This window comes from Homo sapiens, chromosome 1, assembly GCF_000001405.40.
Source record: "Homo sapiens chromosome 1, GRCh38.p14 Primary Assembly".
NCBI classification, from domain to species: domain Eukaryota; kingdom Metazoa; phylum Chordata; class Mammalia; order Primates; family Hominidae; genus Homo; species Homo sapiens.
Window position 1 is genome coordinate 102,511,741 of NC_000001.11, and position 11,138 is coordinate 102,522,878.

Consider the following 11,138-nt stretch of genomic DNA (forward strand, 5'->3'; position numbering starts at 1 on the left):
TCATTGTGGTTTTGATTTGCATTTCTCTGATGGCCAGTGATGATGAGCATTTTTTCATGTGTCTTTTGGCTCCATAAATGTCTTCTTTTGAGAAGTGTCTTTGCATGTCCTTCGCCCACTTTTTGATGGGGTTGTTTGTTTTTTTCTTGTAAATTTGTTTGAGTTCATTGTAGATTCTGGATATTAGCCCTTTATCAGATGAGTAGGTTGCAAAAATTTTCTCCCATTTTGTAGGTTGCCTGTTCACTCTGATGGTAGTTTCTTTTGCTGTGCAGAAGCTCTTTAGTTTAATTAGATCCCATTTCCCAAGGTAATTTACAGATTCAATGCCATCCCCATCAAGCTACCAATGACTTTCTTCACAGAATTGGAAAAAACTACTTTAAAGTTCATATGGAACCAAAAAAGAGCCCGCATTGCCAAGTCAATCCTAAGCCAAAAGAACAAAGCTGGACGCATCACACTACCTGACTTCAAACTATACTACAAGGCTACAGTAACCAAAACAGCATGGTACTGGTACCAAAACAGAGATATAGATCAATGGAACAGAACAGAGCCCTCAGAAAAAACGCCACATATCTACAACTATCTGATCTTTGACAAACCTGAGAAAAACAAGCAATGGGGAAAGGATTCCCTATTTAATAAATGGTGCTGGGAAAACTGGCTAGCCCTATGTAGAAAGCTGAAACTGGATCCCTTCCTTACACCTTATACAAAAATCAATTCAAGATGGATTAAAGACTTAAACGTTAGACCTAAAACCATAAACACCCTAGAAGAAAACCTAGGCATTACCATTCAGGACATAGGCATGGGCAAGGACTTCATTTCTAAAACACCAAAAGCAATGGCAACAAAAGACAAAATCTACCAATCATTTAAAGAATAACTAACACAAATTCTTTTGAAACTATTCCAGAAAGTCAAAGAAAAAATAATTCCAATCTTATTTTATGAAGATAGCATTATCCTGATATCAAAACCCTACAAAGACACACACACACACACACACACACGCACACACACACACACACGACCATTATTCTTGATAAACACAGATGCAAAATTCCTCAACAAAATACAAGCAAACCAAATTCAAAAGCACATTAAAAAAATCATTCACCATAATCAAGTGAGATTGATGCCAAGGATACAAGGATGGTTTAGTATAAGCAAATCAATAAATATGGTACATCCCATTAGCAGAAAGAAAACTAAAAAACATATAATCATTTCAATAGACATGGAAAAGTTATTTGACAGTATTCATCATCTTTTCATGATAAATAAAAGTCTCATCAAATTAGGTATAGAAAGTATGTTCAACACACAAAAAAGATTACAAATGATAAATCCACAGCTAACATCATTCTAAATGGGGTAAAATTAAAAGTTTTTTCTCTATGATCTGAAACAAAACAGGAATATTTACTTTTACCACTTCTATTCATCACAGTACTGGAAGTCCTAGCTAGAGCAATGAGTCAAGAGAAGGAAATAAAAAGCAGTCAAATTGAAAAAGAGGAAATCAAATTGTCCCTGTTTGCAAATGACATGAATTTATATATAGCCAAGTCTATAGACCTACCGAAAAACTATTCAAACTAGTAAAAAAACTTAGTAAAGTTGCAGGATACAAAATGAATATACAAAAATCAGTAGCATTTCTATATGTTAATAATGTACTCTCTGGATAGGCATGGTGCCTCACACCTGTAATCCAAGCACTTTGGGATGCCAAGACAGGCAGATCACCTGAGGTCAGGAGTTCGAGACCAGCCTGGCCACCATAGTGAAACCATGTCCCTACTAAAAATACAGAAATCAGCTGGGCATGGTGGCGTGCACCTGTAATTCCAGCTACTTGGGAGGCTGAGGCAGGAGAATTGCTTGAACTCAGGAGGTGGAGGTTGCAGTGAGTCAAAACCATGCCACTGCACTCCAGCCTGGGCAACAGAGAGAAACGCTGTCTCAAAAAAAAAAAAAAAAAGTACTATTTGAAAAAGAAATCAAGAAATCAATTCCATTTACAAAGGATAGAATAATAAAACACCCAGGAATACATTTAACCAAGGAAGTAAAAAATCTCTAAAATAAAATCTATGAAAGAAATGGATGAAGACTCAAATAAATGGAAAGATATTTTATTTTTGTGGATTGGAGGAAATAATATTGTTAAAATATCCATACTAGCCAAAGCAATCCAGTCAAAGACATTCTTCACAGACATTTAAAAAATCCTGAAATTTATATGTAACCACAAAATATCCTAATATCCAAAGCAATCATAAGACAAAATAAAAAAAAAAAAAGAAAGGCTGGAGGCCTCACACTAACTCACTTTGAAATATACTACAAAGATATAATAACCAAAAATAGCTCGGTACTGGCATGAAAACAAACACATAGACAAATAAAAGAAAATAGAGAGTGCAGAAATAAATCTACACATCTATAGTATACTGATTTTTGACAAAGATGCCAGAAACACATATTGGGGAAAGGGCAGTCTCTTTAATAAATGATGCTAGAAAAATTGAATATTCACATGTAGAAGAAGAAAGCTAGGCCCCTATTACTCATCATATACAAAAGTAAAGTCAAAATAGATTAAAGAAAGTAAATTAAAGTAAGACTAGAAACTATGAAACTACTAGAAGAAAACATAGTGGAAATGCTTCATGACATTGGACTGGGGAAAAACAGACGTTGAAAGCACAGGCAATGTAAGCAAAAATAGATAAATGTGATGACATCAAACTAAAAAGCTTCTGCATAGAAAGGGCAACAGTCAACACAGTGAAGAGATAACGTACAGGATGGGAGAAAATATTTGCAAACTATATGTTTAACAAGTAGTTAACATCTAGAATATATAAGAAATGTAAACAACTCAATAACAAATAACAAATTGTACCATTAAAAATTGAGCAAAAGACCTGAATAGACATTTATCAAAAGAAGACATATAAAAGGACAACAGTTATATGGAAAAATGCTCAATATTTCTAATCATGATAGAAATGCACATAGAAATAACAATGAGATATTACTTTACTCCAGTTAGAATGGCTATTATCAAAAAGACAAATGATAGCAATTGTTGGCAAGGATGCAGAGAAAAGGAAACACTTATACACTGTTGGTAGGAATACAAATTATTATATCCACTATAAAAAACAGTATGGAGGATCCTCATAAACTAAGAATAGAACTATCATACAATCCAGTAATTCCAATACTGTTTCCAGAGGAAATAATATTGGTATGTCCCCTCCCTGTGTCCATGTGTTCTCATTGTTCAATTCCCACTAACGAGTGAGAACATGCGGTGTTTGGTTTTCTGTTCCTGTGCTAGTTTGCTGAGGATGATGGTTTCCAGCTTCATCCATGTCCCTGCAAAGGGGGCCTGTCGGAGGGGTGTACGGGGAAAGGGAAGGGAGAGCATTAGGACAAATGCCTAATGCATATGGGGCTTAAAACCTAGTTGATGGGTTGATAGGTGCAGCAAACCACCATGGCACGTGTATGTCTATGTAACAAACCTGCACATACAGCACATGTATCCCAGAACTTAAAGTAAATTTAAAAAAAAATTGGTATGTCAAAGAGATATCTTCACTCCCATATTCATCACAGCATATTCACAATATCCAAGATATTGAATTAACCTAGGTGTTTAACAACTAAAGAATAAAGAAAATGTGACATATATACAAAATGGAATATTATACAGCCATAAAAGGGAATAAAATCCTGCCATTTGTGACAACATGGATGAGCCTAGAGGACTTTTTTTTAAATGAAATAAGTCAGACACAGAAAGACAAATACTGCATATTCTCATTCATATTCAGAATCTAAAAAATTTGATCTCGTAGGAAGAGTGATTACAATAGTGGTTACTAAGGACTGGGGAAGAGAAGATGCGGTGACTATGGGCAATGGGTACAAAGTTACAATTAAAAAGGAAGAATCAGTTCTGGTTCCCTACTGTACAGTAAGGTAACTGTAATCAACAATAACATTGTATATCTCAGAATAGCTAGAAAAGAGGGTTTTGTTTGTTTCTACTATAAAGAAGTAATGGATATCCAAAGTACCTTGACTGGATAATTACACAGTGTATACATGTATCACAACACCACATTATCTTCATAAATATGCACGAATATGTCTCAATTAAAAATAAACATAATAAAAATATACAACAAAATAACACATGCTTTGATTAACACATCATAGAGTACAATAAAAACACAAAGGAATCATTGGTCATTTCTTTTTATTGGGAAAAGTTTTTAGGGAAATCTGAATAGATATAGTGATTGGGGAAGGAAAGGGAAGAGATTCCATGCACAAGGAGCAGATTAGCAATTCATTCAGGTATGAAACAGCAGTCTGCTTTTAATAGAATCCTGTGTAGTTTATTATGACTTGGGGGATTCGAGTGCAGTTGCGCTAAGAAATAAATGTAGTCAGATAGTACAGGCTTTTGTCAGAAAGATTCCTTGAGCAAAACTAGTTTAACTTGGATTATTACAATTATCTTCTAAAAAAATCTTTGTATACCTACACACTGTAAATAACTAAAGCATGAAAAAAAAACCTAAACTAGTACTTTCAAGTGAAAATAATTCCTTACAAATGAAAATAAACATATATATTTAGGTATCTAGACTTTAAAGAAAGTCAGGATCTAGTCTTATACCACAAAATTGTATTTTTGATCTGATGTAAGCTAATTTACAAACTTCACTTTCATTCTTAGGATGCAAATAAATAAAAGTTGAATTGTCTTAATCATCACATTAGTGGCCTTATTTTGATTCCTTTACTTGCTCATATGTGAACGTGACAATCTTTGCTTTTGCCAGACCCATCCAATTGCTAGGGTTTAGACCTATTAAATTATTCTTTTCTTCCCATTTCCTCTACATTAGAAGCACACTTGCATATGGCTAATTCTCCAAGTATGAAACATTCAAAGCAGGGATTGATCTGTTAACTATTATTTACTGTTAAAACACTATTGAAGGTTTAGAAAAATATTAGAAAAGTTAAGAGATTAAAGCATTCTCCTCACAAGCTTATATTGACCAATACAAAGTTCTTTTGATTCATGACCCTGAGCAAAAATAGTATCGTTATATAAACCCTAAATGTTAATATGGGTCAGTTTTGAATAGCCTACCAAAAAACTGATTTCACCAATAACAGATATGTTCAAGCAAGTTCAAGCTTTCCGGTCTTTAATGTGAGAATAATTTAATATACTTATTTAATAAAGGACTCTTATCCAGAATACATAAACAACTGGTATAGTGATAAGAAGAAGACGGTTAACCCAGTACAAACATAAATCAAAAATTAAACACATCACCAGAAAGGATGATAAAATTAAACCAGTTTGCCATAGAGATATCTATATGCCCTTGTTCATTGCACCATTATTCACAATATCTAAGAAATGAAAGCAATATAGGTGTCCATCATCAGATGAATGGCAACAAAAAAATGTTTATATACAATGAAATACATTCAGCCTTAAAAAGAGAAATCCTGACAATTGCAACAACATGGATGAACGTGTAGGACATTATGCTAAGTGAAATAAACTAGGTAGAGAAAGAAAGCACAGCATGATCTCACTTATATGTGGAATCTAAAAAACTGGAATTCATAAAAGTAGGGAGTAGATGGTGGTTACCAGAAGCTCTGGTATGGGAGAACAGGAGACATTGGTCAAAGGATGCAGTTTCAGTTAGATAGCAGAAATAAGTTCTGGAGAGCTATTGTACAGCATGTTAACTATTGTTAATAATAATACATTGTATATTCGAAAATTGCTAAAAGAGTAGATTTTAAAGTTTACACCACGTAGAAAATAATAAGTATGTAAGGTGATAAGCAGCTTGATAGAATCATTCTACAATGTATGTAGCTACATATTTCAATACATCATATTATACCAAAATATGTACAAAAATATAATTTAAAAATTAAGACAAATTATTTATTTTATTTTATTATTTATTTTATTTCATTTTGAGATGGAGTCTCACTCTTGTTGCCCAGGCTGTAGTGCAATATCGCGACCTCAGCTCACTGTAACATTTGCCTCCCGAGTTCAAGAGATTCTCCTGACTCAGCCTCCCAAGTAGCTGGGATTACAGGCACCCACCACCAGGCCTGGCTACTTTTTGCATTTTCAGTAGAGACGGGGTTTCACCATGTTAGCCAGTCTGGTCTTGAACTCCGACCTCAGGTGATTAACCCATCTCGGCCTCCCAAAGTGCTGGGATTAGAAGCATGAGCCACTGCACACATCCTAATACAAATAATTTGAAAGATTATTTGATATTTCAAAACTGATTTAATATTAAAAGTAAGTTGATATATCTAATAGGTCCTTGATATGAAATTAAATCCCCTCTAAATAAAAGACTATTTTTCTGTGCCTCAATAATTACATAAGCTTCTCATGCTTTTATATGAAATATCTTCTGTCATTATTGTGTCATCCTGGTGGTGGACTAGCATGTTGAATTCTAAAGTGGTGAAAAAATTAGAGTCCCTGTAGACCCAATTTTTTTACAGGACCAGCACATTGGCTCAATTATGTGAAAAGACTGTAACGGTATATTGTTGTTGCTTAGTGGAACAAAGTACTAGCCTTCTCTGTTTATTGATTTTCAGAAAAATAGCACGTACCAATTCAATAGTTGCATTCCTAACGCCAGGAGATGTGCTGATTTGCTTTTCCAAAGAAAACTAAACCTAGAATAGCAGCTGTAATGGGAGTCACCACCTGATTAAGGCTTTAATAATTCATTGTCATTGTGCTGAATCAATCAATCTTCAGTAATTGTAAAACTGGCAAGTAAATGAAGATTTGATAAGACTCACCCACTGTTAATATTTCATCTTGGTGATGGTATTTAACTTTATAATTATTTCAGGTATGTTTATTGTTTTGTTTTTTTCTTTGACAGAGAAAGATAATTTCATGAGCTTTTCTTGAACAGTATAGCCCTTCCTTTGGGAGTCAAGTTACAAATGTAATTGATTTTCCTGCCATTAAACTCTGGAACTGAGGAAAGTTCTGTTCTCACCGACCTACCATGAAGCAAATTTGATAAAAATAAATACTGCATTTATGTCTTGGCACTCTACTTATCATTTTGATGCGTAGAAGTGATGTTATGTTTCTCCAGGAAAATATATAAACTTAGATCCAGAGCATAATAACTTCCAGATTGTCTGAGACTCTCCGTTTTCTATCGCATAGTTACTTTGGTGAATGATACAAAGGAGACACATTTAGGAAGAGCTAGAACAGCAATTTACATGATGAACTTATAATGTTTGCAGGGGTTTTCCTCAAGAGAAAAGCCTCTATTTCTTTGAAGGATCTTTGACGTGAATTGACTATGGCCTGGTTGTATGACTGACATTGGCTCTGTATCCTGGGGCTCAGATCTTGCTTCTATTTGCCTTGAGAACCTCTTTTTTTTTTTTTTTTTTTAACTTTGCTGGCCTCCTTATCTATTTTGGTCCTTAAAAATGTCGTGAATATATAGCTACTATCAGGATTCCTGTTGGTGAACCCATTTTGATTGTCATTTCCTTCCAATATAATAATACAAAACTTGCCTTTAAAATTGTGCTGCTCCTTTCCCTCTGCAACAAACTACATGTGGATATATGCTTTGGAATCTTGGGATCCATTTCAATTGCAACACCCTATTAAACATTTTCAGACTTCCAAAAACATCCAAACTACATAGCATTTTAAAGACACAGGTCCTCACTTTAGTGTTTATTTCTTAGTGCCTTAATAAAAGAAGTATCTCCTGTTTTTTTTTTTAATTCTGGGATAATATTTAAGGGGTATGAATGATATCTCATAATATCAATCTATGTTTCTATCTCCCTACTTTTGATTTATTCTCATACATTATAAGAAATTATTTCTTATATCTCACTTTCATTTATCACAGGACACAATTGACTATGGATTTCAGCTAACCAACTAAGCAAACAATTACAAATACCCCAGCTGCTCAACCTGGTAAATTGAATCCGGAAACTCTAGTAACTAGCATCTATATTATAACTTCAACTGAGTTAAACTTTTGTTCTTCTCTTATTAATCTAGCAAATATATGTGTTTCCCATGTATATTCACAACATTTTTGTGAATATAAATTGCCCCTTACATAACTTTAAGAAAGTTTTTGCTCCTAGCGTTTACATTGTAATTTCACAATTGGTCAGGTTTGTACTGGAGAAAAGGAAAAGTGTTTGAAGTTGGGAAGTAGGGTGGCGTAGTTTTTCTTGCAAAGTAACTCTCACCAATAAGTAATTATGGAGTCTTCAAGCAATTTGAAATAGGCTTATCACACATAATAGGGGAATCTGCTTCAATCTTCAAGAGAGGTCCAGTGATTGGGAATTCAGTAAAAAGTGACTCACCTTTTACATTTTCTCATAAGTAACCAAGTTTTCAGGGTTCAACTTTTCCAATTGTTGTCTTTAACATTCACATTAAAGACATGGCAGGGGAATGAATTCAACAGACTTCATAATTTAGCCACTTAAAAGAATACAGTTTCACTTGATTTTGTAAGCAATGAGGGACTGTTGTACCTTAGTAACCAAAAGACATTGGATTTCAGTCCATCCTTTGAATGTATCAAGCCATTCACCTTCTGCACTTCATGCTTTCTAGAGTACTTGTTATTTATTTCTTTCATTCTCTCCCATAGCAATGACTAGTTCACACATCAACCACTTAGCTTCAACAGATACTTCACTCCAGTGAGCCAGGTAATAATTTGAATACTAATATATTAATAACTTTTATATAGCATTATTTCTGTGTTTGATATTGTTCTAAGTTCTTGACATATATTAACTCATATGAGCTTTACAATTGCCATTGAATTGGTTATTCTTCCCATTTTACACTGAAGAAATTGAAGTGCTGATCAGTAAATTAACTTGTTCATGGTGCACAGCTAGTAAGTGGATCCAAAACCTGTGTTTTTAATCCACAGAATCTGTCACCCAAGCCTTGAGTAATGCTTTATATTGATTTCAAATTTCTGGGTTAGGTTTATCTTAGGTTGTGTGTATTTATTCCATTGCAAGTGAGGGAAGATAAATAAATACCTGGGGATCTCAGCTTCTCTAGTGTTTCTATCTTCCACTAAGACCCATAAAGTGAGTTAATTTCTCAATATGGTACAGGAATTCAAATGCTAGGTAGCTCCCCAAATCGCTAATTATTTCTATGATGACTGACATTAACATCCATAATGTATTCAAATATTATTATTTGAAAAAGGTACCTTAGAACAATTTTTGACAAAAATTTTTAAACAAGTATTTTGGATGCAGACTAATTAAACATAGCCAAATCTTTGACATTATATCTAAGAAATTCATGATTACCAGAACACTTACACTAAATATTCAGATTCATTCAAATACTTGATCACATTTGCATAAAATTATCTGAAAAATTGGCAAACATTAATGTTTAATTAGAACATCTCTTAAATTATTGTATATTATATAATTTCTTCATAGACAAATATTCATTTTCTGTTTTTAATATAGCCATGATATTGTTAAATTGCTAATGGTTAGAATATAAAGTTCTTAGGAAGTTAGAAAACATGAGTGTAAAGTTTTGAATAACTTTAAGGTCAATCCTAGAAAATAATGCATTGAGATAATTATTTTGTTATTGTCAGATATGCAAAACAATTTTATGTGTAATTTCTTTTGGGGACTACTATACTTCTGTGCATTAAAAATATGATTGTATTTTGGAAATTGTATTGAATAATCTTTCTATACCTCTATCTGTCTGAAGAATATATTATTTCAATTTTATAAAGTAATCATGTAATTTTAGTCATCATTATCTAAAGTAAGCTATGAATAAGCATTTATTTTGAGGCATATACTTTAACATTTTCAAAAATAGAGACATGTACAAGTTAGTTTTATTCAAAGTTTTCAGCTTTGAAACACCACAGCTTATTTCCAGGAATATTGCATATGGCATGCTAATATCATTCTTCACCCACGTTATACATAAGAGACCAGAATGTGATATTGTCATCTCACATGGAAAAATCTGCTGTGATCAGTTCCTGAAGCTTGCTGTGATCCTCCCTTAGGAAAGTAGAAAAATCTTTTTGAAACACTTTATTCTACAATCAATGAAAATTAGGTGAAGCTACAGAAGCCAGAAATTACTCTAAGATTAGACAATTATTTAAGAGGACCAATTGTCTTTGGTCTTCTTCTGAAGGGTCTGACTACCCTCCTCCAAAGAATTCATCTACTAATTTGTGGAGCCCTGAAACAAACTTACATTAATGCAAAACCTACTACTCCAAATGGTGTTATCACTTAATCATCATGTATATGGAGTAGATAGTATTGATCAGAGCGAATACATGATATAGAAAAATGGTAAATGAATAAGATCTAATAGAAACCAGAGGTTAAAATTAGTACATTTCAGAGATATTGTGAAAGAATAAGAGAGAGGTCTTTCAGATAGAAAGAAGCAAAGCAAGATTAAGCATACCTGTGGATTTGTTTGAATAACATAAACCTCAAGAGCAATAATAGCCAAGATTACAGAAGGTCAAAGCCAGTTACTCAAATAATCTTCTCCAATTTGGCTTAGTAATAATGCACTTATATTGAGATAACATCATAATAACAAATATTACATGCAAACAAACTATAGTAATTATGTAGTCTAATTAGGTCTATTATGGAAGTGTCTGTGGAGGTGTTTGACAGATTTATGCTACAGACAGAAAACGAGGTCACGACAAGAAATATGATACGTACAAAGGGCTGAAGAGGTTTTAAGAACTTCTGGTTTGTGTATCTCTCAAACATTTGGTTGAATTCAGTATTAAACAACAAGGTAGGTATCACAATAGCTATATTGAATTGCCTGTTCTTACAATATTACTGCTGTTAGGAACAAAACACCACACACTGAGATAACTGATTTAGGAGGGAAAAATGTTAATCTTCCTAATGTCCTGTAAAGAATGTAGAATTTATAATAATCTAGGCACCCTGCTGTTAAC